Below are 17,027 nucleotides of genomic sequence, written 5' to 3'. Positions count from 1 at the left end.
GACTCTGCAGCTTTGGGATGTGTAATTGGTCTCTGAAGTGTTTTGGTATTTTGTGTGAGGATGCCAGATGAGCCCCAAAGAAGTGGCATTGATTCCATATTATTGTGTTGTTATATATTTATCTTAGGGAGGGGCTCTGTGCATCCCTCTTTCTGTTCAGCACTGTCCACTTGTTGGCTCTCCAGGTTTCTTATCTGCACGTTCAGTTTGAAACCAAATATTTGAGTAATTTGATTAATCACTTGCATTCGCACGATTGGCTGGCAGAGGTTGATGGTTGGACAATAGCCAACCAACTGGAACCATTTTTGGACCCTAGATTTATTTTACAGGGAACATAAGACCAGATAATTACCTGGCATATTCTGGATCAATTCACAGTGGCACATTCTAGCCAATTACTTAGTAATTATCATCGAAGTTAACAAGTATTTCTAAGATTAGCTTCCTTGCAATGCAATATGTGTGGCTCTTGGGGAATGAGTAATAACCAACTAGTTACCCAATTGCTATAGCCGCAAATGCTATTAGCAGCAGGATTGCTAAATTGTTTCACAATTGGGTCGTTATGGGATTATTGCAAAGCTATCGACGGTCTGCGCAATCACTCATGTTAAAAACTCCAAGTGAAATCTGAAAGCCAATAGAGTTGAGTGAAAGTGTCTCTCACCCGTCTACCTTGCTACCTAGGGTTTCACAAGCCTTAGTTTCTCCTTCTGTAAAATGAGCAGGTGGAAGCGGATGTTTCTTGCAGTGTCCTGCCAACTCTGACAGTATTCTTTGCTTGTCTGATAATGAGCTGTGTTTGAGAAGCAGCTGGGAACAGTGCTTCTCAAAGATGGCGTACCTGGACCTTCCTGCACCAGAGTCCTAGGAGAGGAAAGTTGTAAAAATGCAGATTCCAGAAAAAAGACTGTGATGGTGGCAGGTGAGGGCAAAGGGGAGAAGGTGAGGGTAGAGAAGCTGTCAGGAGCAAGACTGGAGAGGGCAGGGGTTCTCAAGCCTGGTGGAGGAAGGGGAGCTTTTAATACAGTAACAGTGCCTGGCCCTGCCCCAGAGCAGAGTCTCTCATCTTCAGCACTACTGATATTTGGGGTCAGAAAAGCCTTTGTGGTGGGGACTGTAGGATGTTTGGCAGCGTCCCTGGCCTCTACTCACTAGATGCCAGTAGCACTAAGCGTCAAGTTGTGACAACCAAAATGCCCTCGAGACATTGTCCAGAGTGCAGGGGACTCTATCACACAGCCAGGTTTGAACCCTCAGTTATAGAATCCCTGGTGAGGAGTCCTGATTTTATGCCAAGGGCAGTGAGCAGCCGTTGGAGGGCTGTAGGCAGGGGTGTGACATGGTGTTGTTGGAGGACAAGAATGAGGAAGCCTCAAAAATAAAGGGTGGGTGCACAAAGGGAGATATTTTGCCTAGTGCAAAGGCAACGACAGTTTAAGGAAATGATCTGCTTATCTGCCCTAACTTCCCATTGTAATCAAAGGGCTGATGATCTTGGTGGACACTCAGTGTCCTTGCTTTCACCCCATTTTGCTGCCCTCGGTCAGACTGGCAAACCCTGTGTTATGAAGATCACCATATTAGGGTTGCTGTTCTGACAGTGGGTAAGGCTCTGAACCAGCAGAAGCCAAGCCATGCTAGGTGGCGTGGCTGAGCCTTTTTGCTGAAATCAGTTCCCTGGTTGTGGGGTAGAACCAAGACAGAGCCCTCAAAAATAAACCAAAAAAGCAGCAGATTCCATCAGCTTTCAGCAAGTGCTTCGCTTCAGGCCAGGCGTGGTGAGGTTCTCCTATTTATCCTTGTGCCTATTTTACAGGTGAGAAAACTGAGGTCAGAAAGGCAGAGGGAGCCCTTGCCCAAATCATAGAACAAATAACTGGCAGAACTGGGACTAAGCAAATGTATATCTAAATACTAGTCTGGTAGGTTCCTTCTTTGCCAATGGCCGCCTTAGCTACACCAAGGGGAATGGGCTCCATCTGTGAGCACTTTGGTGACACAGAGATTCTGCATTTTTGGTCATATCACAATCACCTGGAGAAATTGATCACAATTCAGGGCTGAGGCCCCATCCTACTTCAATTAGCTTGGACCTCTATCCTTTTTAGTAAGTGCCAGGGGATTTTGTTCACGCCACAGTTTAAGAACCACTGGCCTATTAGAACTGAGTTTCATTTTTGTAGCCTTGATTTTCCGGTGTTTATGTGCTTCTCCAATACCCTGTAAATTCCTGTGGCACCAGCACAACCATGCACACACACACGTGCACACACACACACGCACACACACACACTCGCTCCTCTTCTATATATACGCTAAATTACACACCATCTTCTCTTCTTTCTCTCCTGTTCTCTTTCCCACATCCCCTCAAAGAAATGCACACACTCTATCTTTCCCTGCAAAACACTCATTCCACAAATATTAGCAGCTCACAAAACTGCTGTGCAGAACTCAGAGAACGTACAGTCCCTCACAGAAGCCCCCACGTCACCCCCTTCCCCACTCCCCAAATTATTTTGTAGAACTCTAAAATTATGTAAATCTGTGCTTCGTATCATGTGGTTCCCTAACCAGCCTTACCTGTGAACTTGTTAGAAATGTTAATTCTCTCTCCCACCCTCCCCCGCTGAATCAGAACCTCTGCGGGTGTGTCCAACAAGCTGGGTTTTAAGAAGCCCTATATGGAATTCTTGTTCATGCTCAATTGTGAGACCTGCTGCTTTAAAGAAAGCGGGTCCTTCCTCCCACCTGGAGCAAACTGCCTTTACAACTGCCAAGAGCTTCGGGCACACCTTGGAAACCTCTTCTCTCAGGCACTAACTGAGAGGTGTGCAGCTGAGTCCAAAATGGGTGAGGGCCTAGAATGACCCAATATCAGCACCTGCAGGGGCCTGAGAGCCATCTGTTAGCTTCAGTGCTAGCACATTCCACTAACGCGCCTTCCACAGACATTCATCGGACCCCGGCACAGTGCCAGACCACATGATAGACACTCAGAACACAGTGTCTACAGTTTGTACTGTGGACTTTGCATTCCAGAAGAGACAGACAATAACAAGTTAAACAAACACGTAAGATCATTAAAGCATCGTAATAAGTGCTGTGAAGGCCACAGTCAGGGTGATCGATGGGTCAGAGTGATGGGAGGGCTACTTTGAAGAGGGGCTCAGAGGGGGCTTCATAGGGGAAGTGACATTTGAGCTAGGATCTAGCAATGAAGAGGCATTGGCCATGCCAAGAGGCAGAGAAAGAGCAGTTCAGGTAGAGGTACTGCAGGTGCAAAGGCCCTGGGGTAGGTATGAGATTGGTACGTTTGAGGAGCTATAGAAAGGGGCTGCAGAGGCCAGATAATTGCAAGGCTTTGAATGCCATAGAAAGGAATGTAGTGTTTATCCTACGGCAATGGGAAGCCCACGTAAGGTTTTAAATGGCAGCTGCCCACGCTACTCTGGGGGTTTCCTGATGGCCAAGATCCTACCTCCTCTTGCACTCAGCTGGTTGGTTCAATGTGTCAAAATGCATATGGGTTAGAATAGTGATGGCATCAAGGAAACCCAGCGCCAAAGGGCACAAGCCAAGAGAAAAGGCTCTGGGGTATCCTGACTGTCAGTTTGCCATTTCCACCTATGTGGGGCTCTTAGGAACGATACCAGTGAATTTCATCAGGATCCTTTCCCAGGGATTGGGGTAGGATGGGGCGAGGTATTAGGGGCATTACCTAAACATCTTGTAATTGAGGGGCTCAGACTGTGTGCCCCAGGAAAAAAGAGGAAGGAAGAACTGGATTTCCCCATGCCCCCCAGGATGATTTTTTAAATTTCTCATTTGGCGCATGTCACCAATCCCCTCGCTGGGTTCCCAGAGTCTGAGAGGCATCTTCTCAGTTATGTGAGGTTAACTGTTGCCCGCGTGCATGAAATATCCAGCACTTACCCATCTCCTAGGGACAAGGTAGTAATGAAATCCCATGGGGCCTCATTTGCACAGCATTTTAAATCCAGTAAATATCAGGAACTACTTAATAGATTATTTATTTCCAACTCCAAATCAGTTCCTGTTTTCCATGCTTTCAAATATAATAGCACCAAGCTGCTATATTTGACAGATGCATGGAGAACCCTGCCTTCTGTTAAGGTGGTAACTCCATCAACTTGCTTTTTCTGTAACTCCTGTACTTGTGGTCTTTCTAATTTTTGTTTCTCTTCAGGCCAGTTTGATTGTCCTAAATATAACGTACAGGAGTTGGGGGGCCTGAGCACATGAAGATTCCGTCCCCATCATCGAGTGGAAGCGGCTTCCTTTTATGTTCAAAAAGCTGAATCGCTTTCCCTTTATAAAGCACAGCTGAAAAGGTTTTTTGTCTGTGGCTGCCTTTAATTGTGCTGAAATGTAAAGCACCCTGGGACTTTTGTGAAGGAAGCGCTATAAATGTACAGCATCATTATCATTATTATTATCAGCATCATCTCATGTACATTGCATACGCCTGTGTAATCCATCCTATGAGCAGCAGAGGATTTGCATGGCTGAAGACCTCACCACTGGCCACCACTCTCCTCGAATCTCAAAGATCCTGAATTAGCACGTGTGACATCTGTCATCACTTTAAAAAACTGTGTATCTTATTACACAAGTGAATGACTTGTTTGCAATTGCAAATGCAGATCAGCAGAAAGAAGAAAATGAAATTCACCCATAATGCCTCCAGCCAGAGAGAATGACATTAACATCTTAGTGTATATCCATCCAGGCATTTGTCCCAGAATATGTGTAAATTCACACTTTGTATTGGTCAGGGTAATGGTAGCTGCTGTAACAAATAAGTCTTAAAACATGACGTGGTTTAACGCAATATAAGTTTATTTCTTGTCCATGTAATAGTCCAAGATGCAAGTTTTTGGATGGTAGGTGGCTTTTCTCCACGTATGGGGGGATCCAAACCATGTCCTTCTTTTGGATTTGCCTTCTTCTAAGCTGCACAGTCCTCTGCCTCTAGCTGAGGAAAAAGGAAGGGGCATGGAACATCCTATGGAGGGGGGTGGTCTGTGAGCCGCCTACAAGTGGTACACATCACTTCACTTATGTGCCATTGGCTGGTGCTGAGTCTGTTGGCCATACCTAACTGCAAAGAAGACTGGAAAATAGCTAACTGTATTCCCAGGAGGAAAACAGTGGGATTTATGAACAGCCAGGAGCTCTGAGACACACATTCATCTTTATGGATAGATCTTCTTCTCCCATGAGAAATAGACTCATACCAGCAACCCTGTTTCATGACTTGCTATATTCACTAAACAGTATGTGTATGAAACACTCCCCTTTGGCATTTGGGTCTATTGCAAATTTCTTCACTCCTGCTTGTCTTAATTTCTCCACATATAGAATGGGGATAACATTTATCTCTTTTGCAAGATGGTGATAAGAATTAGAGATGTATATGAAAAGACTATAGCATAGTGCCTCCTGTAACTGGAGTGCTCAATAACTTTTATCTCCTATAAAATGATGCTATAATAATAATGATATAATAACAACAATAATAATAATGGTAGCAGCAAATGGTAGAAGTCATGTATTTTCTCTCAGGTGCCAAAACATCTTTGACACTACAAACAGCAAGTGTTTTGTGTTTATTATAATACCAAATGATAGGAGTCAGTGACTGCAGTTTGATTGCTTGGATTTGTGTCCCAGCTGTGCTCCTGGCTTGCACCCTGGCCAAGTTACTGAACCTCTGTAAGCTTTGAGCCATCCAGAGGGAGATCTCGAGTAGGGAGCTAGATATCCTGGTCTCAAGCTTGGACGAAAGGTTGGGACTAGAAATAACCATGTATGAGTCATCTGCATAGACATGGTGATGGAAGTCATGGACTTCTTCTGAAGCTGAGGTCATCTGGGGAAAAGAGGAGGGTTGCCTGAGGATGAAGCCCAGACCACCTGAAGCCCGGAACACCTGCAGCATTGTGGCCCGGTTGAGATGGGAAATTCTGCAAGGGGACCAAGAAGAAGTGGCTGGATGGTAGAGGCAACCAGAGGAGCATGAAGTCAGGAAGCCAACCCAAAATTGTTCCCACTGTGCAGCTTCTCCCATCTCTGTCTCCTCCTATTACATTGCTGTGTTTTATTTTATTTTTGAAACAAGGTCTTGGTCTGTCACCCAGGCTGGAGTGCAGTGGCACAATCTCAGTTCACTGCAACCTGCGCCTCCTGGATTCAAGTAATTCTCCTGCCTTAGCCTCCCCAGCAGCTGGGATTACAGGCACATGCCACCTCACCCAACTAATTTTTGTGTTTTTAGTAGAGACGGGGTTTCACCATGTTGGCCAGCCTTGTCTTGAACTCCTGACCTCAAATGATCTGCCCGCCTCAGCCTCCCAAAGTGCTGGGATTACAGGCGTGAGCCACCGTGCCTGGCCTGCATTTTATTTTCATCAAGGTGCTTCTCATCATAAGATAATTATTATTTTGTTCTTCTATGTTTGCTCACTTACTTTTTCCCCTGCATTCCCTCCCCCACCTTAGAACATAAGCCCCAGGAGAGCAAGGATCTCAGCTATTTGACTCACCTCTGTATCCCCAGCCCCCAAAATACTAGGTCCTCCATACATACTTGTTGAATGGATTAACACATTTACAAAAATACATTCACACACATTAGCACAGCCTGCTCCTCTAGGCAAGTGTAGCAGCAGACAATGAATGGTGCTATTTACTTAGAATCACTGGGAAATGAGTAGACATAAAGAAAATATAGTACGCACTGGAGGGATGACTATAGGATGTGGGAGAAGTAACAGTGATGAAAAGAAAAGAGATGCCAAGTATGTGATGTAAGTTATAACAGTGCAGTAAAGGAGTATTTCCCCACTCACTTACTGTGTATAGGGTCCAGTGCCTGATGATGGAAATAGAGAGAGGAAGGCATGATGTCTGCCCGTCATGGAGCTCACAGACAAGGAAATTAACTGGATGATTCTCCAACGGTGTCGTGATCTCTGCAATAAGATCCCAGGGGTACATGGGGACCTGGAACCTGCCCCTTATCCAACCAAGTAATTAGGCAGATGGACAAGAAGGGAGTGACATTCCTAATGGAGGGGACAGCATATGCAAAGGCTTAGAGGTAGGAGGTAGCAAGGCCAGGGGAGGGGCAAGAGCTGGAGTAGAGGATATATACGGGGAGTAGCAAGAGATATGAAACTAGAGAGATCTGACCGGGTGCGGTGGCTCACACCGGTAATTGCAGCACTTTGGGAGGCCAAGGTGGGAAGATCTCTTGAGCCCAGGAGTTCAAGACCAGCCTGGGCAGCACAGGGACACCCCATCTCTACAAAAATTAAAAAACTAGCCAGATGTGATGGTGTGCTCCTGTAGTCCCAGCGAGTTGGGAGGCTGAGACAGAAGGATTGCTTGAGCCTGGGAGACTGAGGCTGCAGTGAGAAAGCCATGATCATACCACTGCACTCCAGCTTGGGCAACAGAGTGAAACCCTGTCTCAAAAAAAAAAAAAAAAAAGAGAGAGAGAGAGAGAGAAACCAAAGACATCTTAAAGGACCTTTCAAGTCAGGCTAAGGAACTTGAACCTTTCTCCCAAAGGCAGTCAGGGGAGCCACCCAGGGATTAAACCAGAGGAGGGACACAGTCTGGTTTGCATTTTATAAAGACTATTTTGGGACATTCCCTCTTCTTAAGAGAGCTTGCAGTAGGGTTGGTGATGTATTCCCCTCCTCCAAAAATGGTGTGGACGGTTAGTGTTGCTCCTAATCAGACATTAGCAGGAACAAATGCAGGCTTCAATGCCCTAGGTTCTAAGAGATTTTTGGCATGCCTCCCGTAGGGGAAAGCAACAGGGAGTTGGCAGGCCTTTGGAAATGAAGGCATTTTCAACAGCTTTCACTATTTACCAACGTTAAAAATAGCCAGCTGCATTTGCATGTTTTGAAGGCAAGTGTGGGCAACATCGGGCCCTTACCATGTGTTCCAGAAAGCAAAGGGATGGTTTCCTCAGTATTGCCGGCAGGCAGTGGTTAAACAAAGATTTGGGAGTATGGGGACAGCTTTACATAGGGAGACAACGTTGTAATTAACAACCCTCTGAAGTAGGTACCATGCAATCCATTTCCTTGTCTGTAAATAGGGGAATTGAACGGTACCTACTTCAAGGGATCATGAAAGAGATTCAAAAAACAGAAAAACCAGTAATTCATGCAGGTTGGTCAGATTGCAGGGAATCAGCTTTTAATTACGATTTTGCCCAAGGTCATAAGCTAGGAAGAGACTGTCTGATTCATACTGAAGCTTGTATCCATCCACTCTCTCGTCCTCTTTCCCTTTCTAGCCGTGCCTGAGTCCATCCCACTTTCTTATGTCCCACGGACACCTTAAGAACTCCCCACTGCTGGGTCCCATTCCCTGGGAAGGACAACAACTGACCTACCTCCAAATCAGGTTCATTGTCCAAACCACCAAACCTGCCTGGCTTGTGACTTGTTGAGTTGGCAGCAGGCACAAATTGAAACCCTGCCACTTGTCCCTTTCCCTCTCCTTCCCCAGCGGCAGATGCTGGGGTGGTGAGAGTGGGAAGGGTAAAATCAGTGTGTCTGCACTGTTCAGAAACTTGCTGGGCCCCAGACTTTGGTTTGATGTATTCCCAACCTGGCTCCAGTTGCTTGATCACTGCTCAGCTTTGGCCTTGCCCCCTGCCTGATCATGTTTAAGATAATTAGGTCCATAAATCAAATAATAAATAGATATTGACTCCTTGTCATGGAGTATATCAGGATTGATTGACCACTGGGAATACTGCTTTCCTCAATCAATGGAGAGCTGTGAGGATAAATAAATCTTGATAATGACTGGCAAGAGGAAAATCAATAGATGTATTAATATATGCATTGAGATCATATATCTTTGTGACATAAGAATTTGTTTGGCAGAAGAGGGAAACGAGATGGAGGGAGGACAGACAGAATGACTCAGTATCCCCAGACTCAAACACAGCACCTGCACAAAGTAGGTGCTCACTGATTTTTTTGCGGGGGGAGGGGTGGGCGGTGAACTACAGAAATCCTAGGAGAGGTTTTCCTCCAAGAGAAACTGTATTTAGTGTTTGCTTTTTTTGTTGTCTAGATGTCCAGTGCCCAGAAATCCCTTCTGCCTATGGGCAGCAAGGTTCTGTTAATGTTTGGCCTTCTGGTGTCACTGGAAGAAAATAGAGGAGGGAAAGGTGGGACATGATGTCAGGTTGGGACCAGGATACTGAAGTTAGGCTCAGGGAGCAAAATCAGGAGATTTTGGTTGGGGATGTTGAATGTGAGGTGCCTCTAAGTCTATTAAGAGGTGATGTTAAGTAGACATTTAGATATCTCGCTGTTCAGAGATGAGTTCTAGACTGGAGATATTAGCCTGGGAGCCATTCATGCTGGGTGGTATTAGAAAGCATGGGTATTAGAAGGCATGGATTTCACACTGAAACGTGCATCAGAAGCTTATGGAGGGCTTTTGAAAATACAGATTGCTGGGTCCTACCCCCAGAGTTTCTCATTCAGTAGGTCTGGGAGGGGCCTGGGAATATGCACTTTAACAATGTTTAACAGTCATCCCAGGTGATACGGATGCTGCAGGTCTGGGGACCCCACTTTGAGAACCAGCAGCTTTGTTAGGGGAAAGAAAAAGCTGAGAAGAGAAGAGGACGCAGCATTCCTGCAAGGAAGACTGATAGGAACAAGAGAATTGAGGAAAACCAGGAAGAGGGTATTGTCATGGAAGCTTGGGACACTCAGTGTCCAGCAAGGGGAGTGGTCAGCAGCTTAGAGGCTGGTGTTGAAAGGACAAATGGGATGCAACTAGAAAAACGTCCCTCAGAATTCTTGCAGCCTTAACATCTTGTTAGGCTGTGGTTTTACCACTGCATGCAGACTTCCTTTATTCACCTGCCCAGTGACATTTGACATCTCAACCTGTAATTTGATAATTCAACCTGTAATTGCATACCATGTACATTTCCAGTGTAGGGCTAGGGTTCAGTTGGGAGTGGAGCTCTTCACCCTCTGAACCAGGTTAGTGGGACTATTTCAGTTATCGGAGTCATCGGAGGGATCAAGGACAGAACTGGAAGATCCTTTCCCAGCAACAGTTCCCAGCAAGGAGAGAGCTAAAATTCACCAGAATGGCAGTGTGGGGTCGCTGAGACAGGAAATGCATTGACTTCCAGGAGACATGTCCTCTCTGGGGACTGAGCAGTATTGTTTTCCAAACTGATCATTGATGTTTGCCACCACTGTCCTTTAAAAATACGGAAGGGAAGTTGGTCACTTGGGCGAATCATTTTTCATATGAAAGAGGGCTTCCTTGTGAAATGGCACTATGGATATTTATTAAGGGAAACAGATTCCTTGAGCAACTACTGCACACTAGGCACTGTGCTAAGGACTTTGTAGATACTGCTTTTTAAAATCGTTATCCTGTTTTACAGATGAGAAAGCTGGGGATTAGAGAGGTAAGGTGGCTTGTTCAAAGACATATAGCTGGTGTTAGGCTAAGCTAGGGCATAACCTTGACCTCTGATTTCAGAGCTTGAGTCCTAACCCTGCCAGGCTGTACTGGGTCATCTTAAAGAATGCATAAAATCTTTGTTTGGTTATTCTTTTTGGCTATTCTCCATGCCTTCCCAAGATGAATTTCATAGGTCATTGCCGTAGTCTGGCCACTTCTCTTACTCTTGGGTATAAAGTAAAATTTGTAAGAATTTTCTGCCATATAGAAATTTTGAACTGGAAAGAAATGTTCTTCCACATCAGAGTTGAGCACCTGTGTGTCCGCCAGTGCCTGGCCTTGTGGATCATCAGGAAACAGAAGCCGAGTGGTCACCAAAAGAGCCTGTAGGGGAATGCTTGGTTTGCTAGTTGTTCTGGGTCTTGAGTAATTGAACTTTAGTGCAGATTTGCTTACACAAGTTTTTCTTTTGTGTTGGTAATCACTTAGACTGTCTGAGCCTCAGTTTCTGCATCCGTTCAATGGAGGTAGTAATAGTCTAACAGTCCCTACCAGGTGGGATAAATGTGAAGATTAAATGAATTGATAGACATAAGGCTCTGAAAATAGTGCCTGGTACACATCAAGTGCTAGATTAGTGTTGACATCTGCTGCTGTTGTTGAGGATTTTTTTTTTTTTTTTTTTTTTGAGACAGGGTCTCAGTCTGTTGCCCAGGCTAGAATGCAGTGGTGCGATCTCAGCTCACTGCAACCTCCACCTGCCAGGTTCAAACAATTCTCCAGTCTCAGCCTCCCGAGTAGTTGGGACCACAGGCACATGCCACCATGCCTGGCTAATTTTTGTATTTTTGGTAGAGACAGGATTTCTCCATGTTGCCCAGGCTGTTCTCAAACGCCTAAGCTCAAAGCAACCTACCTGCCTTGGCCTCCCAAAGTGCTGGGATTACAGGCATGAGCCACTGCTCCCGGCCTGTCGCAGACATTGTTACTGCTAGCACTGTATCACAGGGACTCAATGGAGGTGACGTAAATACAACACTCTTGTCCCTTGCTGCAGTAGAAAGAATATTGGGTATGGAGTTAGATGTCCTGGATGAATGTTCTAGCCTTGTCACTTGCTGGCTGTGTCACCTTGGACAAAATCACCTCACCTCTCTGAGCCTTAGTGTTCTCATCTATCATGTAGAGGTAACTGTGTGCATTTCTCTAGGTGGTTAGGCAAAACTGAAAATTCTTCATAAAGTAACCAAGACTACAGAAAAGTGGAATAATCTTTTAAATCACGTAGTAATAATAATAGTTTAAGAAGTATTGACTGTGTGTCCAGAACTGTTCTAAGCACTTTGACTTTTTCCACGTATCAGTGGGCTTGGTGCTTTTGGTATTGATGGAACTAGGATTTGAGCTCATGCCTGCTGTTGTCAAAGCAAGTATACATAAGCACCTTATCGCTGAAGAGAACTTTCTTCTTGAGTTGGCAGGTGTAGGTGACCAAAATTTAAAGTTAGAACTGCAACTGAGGGGACCCACAGTCAGCGCCTCTGTAGTCTCCAGGGAAGTGTCTGTCCTTGCTCTGAGACTGAGTGATGAGAAGCAGAGGCCCTTCTCCCCAGCCCTCTTGTCATCTTCTCCCTTTGATGGCAGTAGAAAGTATGCAGCTGAGAAGTCACTCTTGCTTTAAATCAAAAGATTCGACTTCGAGTCCTCTTCAAAAGAAGATTGTTTCTTCTAGGTGTTTAAAAGACTGAGAGGAACCTCGAGAAGGGAACAGATCAGGTATCTTCAAAGGCAAAGAAGGGGGTCACAAGCATCCTCAGAATTTCCCCAGCTGAGACCAGTCCCTCCAAGGCTGTTATTAGCACAGCCCTTCGGGACTTGGAGGTGCAGATCAAGGATTCTCGGCAGACTTGTTTGGAAGTGTTTGTAGACCATTGAGGACTGTCAGAGCGTCTCAGTTCCCTGGGTCTGATCTCTCTCTGAGCAACAAGGGCTGCCTTTGACAAGTTCTCATAGCACTGAAGCTCAGTGGATTATTATTCTATCTTGTCAATAAGCTGCAGTTGCTAGGCTCAGCTGGCCTTGCAGCCCTTCCTTCTGCAGGGTTTGGTTTGTGTGCTTTCCTACCTCCCTGCTCTCTTTCTTTCGGTCCCTTTTCCAGCCTTGGTGCTGCCCTATCCCTAGGCCTTATCTCACCACCTGGCTCCTGAATTGGAGGGGAAAACACGGTGCTGTTTGCCTGGCATTCAGAGGGTTGGGCCTTCCATCAGGTGCTGAATGCAAAGAGGGAAGGGGATGGAAGGAGGAGGGGGCCAAGAATTCACGTTCTTCTTCTACCACTGTGTGACTCTAGACAAGCCTTTCAACCTTCTAGCTCTGTTTTCTTGTTTTTGAAATGATTATAACATTATCTGCTTCATCTTTAGCTGGACCATGTACCTCCTTGTCTGGACCTGTTTGACCTAAGCTGAACCCTCAGAAGTGAATGATCACGCATCCATCCATCCTCCTATCAATTCAACCATCTTATATCCCCCAGACCCCTTACCTGTCCCCCTGCCCATCCAATCACCCTCTGAACCATCCATCTATTCAATATAAGCCCACCTACCATCCATCCACTCATCCATCCCATCCACCCCATCCACCCACCCACCCTCTCATCCATTCATTCAACATCCATCCACCCATCTATCCATCTACCCACCTTCACATCCACCCATCTGTTTAACATCCACCTATCCATCTACCCATTCACCTACCCACTAACCACCTATCCAGCCACCCATCCATCTACCCACAATTAACCTACCCATCCACTCATTTATCTACCCATGCACCCACCCTCTCATCCATTCATCTGTTTAACATCCACCTGTCCATTTACCCATTCATCCTGTCAGTCCACCTATCCACTTCCCACCCATCCATCTTCCCACCATTAATCTAGCCATCCACCCATCCATTCACCTACCCTCTCATCCATCTATCTGTTCAACACCCAGCTATCCACCTACCTACCCACCCATCTGTTTAATCACCATTAATCAATCCATCCATCCATGTTCCCACTCTCCAACCCTCCCACCTATCCATTCATGCACCCATCCACTCACCCATCATTACTCTAGCCACCTAGCTGTTCAGCAAATAGTTGTTGAAATCTTACTCTCTAACGTGCAATCCCAGGTGCTAGAAGTTTGTGAGTGGGGCTTTTCTTCTGGGATGTGATGGAAGCATGCCGTGTGTCACAATTAAAGCCGACTCCTTGAGGCAAGACATGATGGCCAGTAGCATGGGAAGGCTGTGGTCAGCATCATTCTGGTATCACGTGTTTAGAGCCAACAACAAATAAGTCTAGGGGAGCATCAGTAGATGGGAATTTTAGTGAACTGCACATCTGTGGATCACATTCCCTGATATAAACATAAAACAGACTCCCCCTCAAAGGAAAATACAGGCAGCAGGACTAAAATAATCAGAATTGTCTTTTCCTGCAGGTTTCCTTCCCTTTGGATCTAACTTTTGTGGAACCCAAGGCTGATGAGTGTAGAGGTCTAAGACCCTGGGAAGATGACAAGGGAGGGTGGCTTTTTATCTCAGCCTGGGAGGTGATGATAAATGGAGGGGAAAAGGATAGGCTTGGGCCACGGGGACAGGGAGAGAAGGTGCCAGTTTAGCAGGTCCTGAGGTAGTTCAGCCTGATTTCCAATAGGAGTGGGGGTGGGGGCTGCTCACTGCCTATTTTATACCCCATTAACTCCCAACTCATAACAATTTATCAGCAATCAGCAGCAGGCTGGAGTTTACTTACTCATTATTTATAGAGAAAGTGTTTGCTAAGCAAATCAGTAGTTCAAACAAGATCGCAGGGGGGTAGGTTTAACCCACTCAAGAAAACCAATCAGAATAAGAGCCTCAGCACATTCCTGTCTGAAGGCAGATGGGGCTGCTGGTGACAGAAGGACACCAGCCAGCCTTCACGGCCCTTGCTTTGCAACTCCAGAAGCCTTCACTTTATCTCAAAATGGTCTCTAAGGAGTACACCTTGGCCTCTTTCTTCCCCATCCAGTCTGAATTTGACATTTGGCTTTATGTTGCTGTTTCAGTAGCCTAGTAAAAGCCTTTGGTCAACCCTAGAAAGAATGAATGTCCTTTGGGGTCAAGTCTCAAAATCAGGACCCTTAAACTCATTCCCTTATTGGAGATGAATGGCCATGGCCTTCTTTAAGTGACTTAAAGACCTCTGGTCCTTTCATTTCAGGAAAGCCTCTTGGATTTGAGGTTAGAAGACCTAGTTTGCCATCCTGGTGCTGAATGGCCTTGGGCAAGTCACTTGGGTTCTGTGATCCTCAGCTTCCTGCTGTATAGAACGGGCACACTGCTGCCCATCCCACAGAGTTCAGGCAGTAGATTAAACCATGTAGGTGAAAGTGTTTTGTAAACAGAAAAATGCAAAGCAGATGTGAGGGGCAAATAGTGTTTCAGGTGGATTTTAATGAAAATGAGAGACTTTTTTCCTTTACTGAATCAAAATGAGTGTTTTCAGCTTTTCCAGTGGTTGGCAACCTGGGTGAACATTCGAATTACCTGGGAGTTTTGAATTCTAAGTAATGCCTGGGCTCCACCCTCAACCCCAAAAGATCCTGATTCAGTGAATCTGGGTTGGATCTTTTATTTATTTATATATGTGTGTGTATACATATATATACACACACACACACATACATATATAAATAAATCTATCTATCTATTGATCTACTGACATATATATATCTCCAGGCAATCCTATTATGGAAGCAGGACTGGGAACCACTGAACTATTCCCAGAATAAGCCATGCCAAACCAAATTTCTCTTTCCTCCCATCTCAGAGTCAGAACTGCATAGCACTCTGGAATCCTATAGACTTTGGTGCAGCCCCATCTCTGTCACTTCCTGGCTACTACATTTATTCTCTAAAAAGGTGTGTGGTCTTGGCAGCTATGCTGGGAGGAAACAGTCAGGCTTGTGGATGACCCAAAACTCTTCTGACACCCAGGGGATTTTATTTCTCAATCTCTGAAGCAAACAGACTGTCACATGCGTGCACCAAACAGGGATGGAAATTGCAACCTGAAATTGACAACTCAGGAAAAAAATATATCAATGTTTGCTAAGTAGAGAAAGAGGTGATATTGGCTGGAAAGAGAAATGTCATTTTCAGGCTGCCAAAAGAGTATTAACATATAATATGGAGAACCAATAAAATCCATAGTCTAATTCTTCCAGGCTGCCTGGTTGAAATAATTCACGAAATTGCATCTGAAAGCCTTGATATTTAGCTCCTAATTTTGACAGAGAAGATGTTTCGTTGGGCCCAATACTGGTGACATGTGTATCGACTTTGAAGATTCTTTCTTAGTGGTAGAGGATCAAGATCTGTGTCCCGTGATCAAAATGTTCAGAAATAACTTTGTTAATAATTTGTGTATCCATTCATTCACTTGTCCAGTCATTCATCAAACATAGCCAGGAGGTAGTAGGTACTGGAGCTGCGGGGCTTTATAAGACATGCTTGTCCTCAGTAGCCTCTCAGCCATGGGGAAGATAGGAATTCAGGAATCATTATACAGGGAAGGAAGTGTTGAAACAGAGGTGTGCAAAGGGCATGAAGAGAATTCAGAGAAAGGGACTGACTGAGTGGTGAAATGGGCTGTTTCTTGTGGAATAAGACATTTTGGAAGAAATGGGGATTAGAGGAAGGGTGTTCTTGGTATAAGGAACAGCATAGACAGAAGCAAGAAGGTGGCAGAAAAAAGAGGTCACATTTGCAAAACTTCAAATAGCTCAATTGAGTTGGAGCAAATGGTGCCAACTGGGGGATATGCAGTGAGGGACACCAAAGCCTAATGTATCCTGACTCTCCTGGATGAGTAATTGTGATAAGAAAAGTGGATAGTTGAGCCTTGTCAGGTGCTATGCAGTGTGCTGAGCACATTATACATACTTTACGCTATTGGATGCTTGCAACCTGAGAGGAGAATGTGATTGTCACTGTTTTACAGATCAGACTCCAGGAAATGTTATTTGCCCAGGGTTCCATGGGTGTAAGCAACAGAAGCATTTGAGCTTCTGTTTGAGCAAGAGGCTGGGGTGATCTGATGAAAAATAAAAGGGCATGAAAACAAAACGTTTGGGTTTTGGTCTTGGAGGGAGGGCGACATCCACCATGTGCTGCCTCTAGGGTTTGAGTTAAACCCATTTCCTTGATGGAAAATGGGGCCAGCTATTCCCACCCACCTTCAGTGTGCTCAACATGATGTGATAGCTTCCACGTTGGTGAGGGGACTGCATAAGGACTGACACAAGGTCAGGATTCTGGTGCGGGCCAATTCACAATTGCCAAGACACGGAACCAACCTAAGTGTCCATTGACCAATGAGTGAATAAAGAAAATGTGGTATATATACACCATGGAATACTACTCGTCCATAAAAATGAACTAAATCATGTCTTTTGCAGCAACTTGGATGAAGCTGGAGGCCA

General features: G+C 45.2%; 1 protein-coding gene and 1 long non-coding RNA gene across 7 annotated transcripts in view, besides 1 other annotated feature; one reads left to right on the top strand and one right to left on the bottom strand.

Moving 5' to 3' along the window:
* The window catches only part of KSR2 (kinase suppressor of ras 2), a 515,979-nt gene that overhangs the window by 446,922 nt on the left and 52,030 nt on the right, over positions 1-17,027 (top strand). The window contains exon 15 of one of the 6 annotated variants that reach the window (XM_011538226.4): positions 4,217-4,785. The exons of the other annotated variants lie outside the window; for them this stretch is intronic. Coding sequence (XP_011536528.1) covers positions 4,217-4,226 — 10 coding nt within the window. The 3' untranslated portion in view covers positions 4,227-4,785. Of the gene's footprint in view, positions 1-4,216; positions 4,786-17,027 lie in introns of those variants that run through there. 6 annotated transcript variants of the gene reach the window in all.
* Positions 2,891-3,185: an enhancer, noted in NCBI's record as "tiled region #11046; HepG2 Activating DNase matched - State 8:EnhW". NCBI's record gives its function as "activates a minimal TATA promoter and a strong SV40 promoter by Sharpr-MPRA in HepG2 cells {active_cell/tissue: HepG2}" and the evidence as "EXISTENCE:reporter gene assay evidence [ECO:0000049][PMID:27701403]".
* On the bottom strand, positions 4,848-8,516 carry LOC105370012 (uncharacterized). Its single transcript, XR_945405.3, has 3 exons — positions 8,447-8,516; positions 6,886-7,004; positions 4,848-5,005 (listed from the first exon to the last, which is right to left on the bottom strand). It is a non-coding gene; the product is annotated as an uncharacterized LOC105370012 (long non-coding RNA).

The sequence above is a fragment of the Homo sapiens genome, chromosome 12 (assembly GCF_000001405.40).
Source record: "Homo sapiens chromosome 12, GRCh38.p14 Primary Assembly".
In the NCBI taxonomy this organism is placed as follows: domain Eukaryota; kingdom Metazoa; phylum Chordata; class Mammalia; order Primates; family Hominidae; genus Homo; species Homo sapiens.
This window is presented reverse-complemented; position numbering and strand designations above follow the sequence as displayed.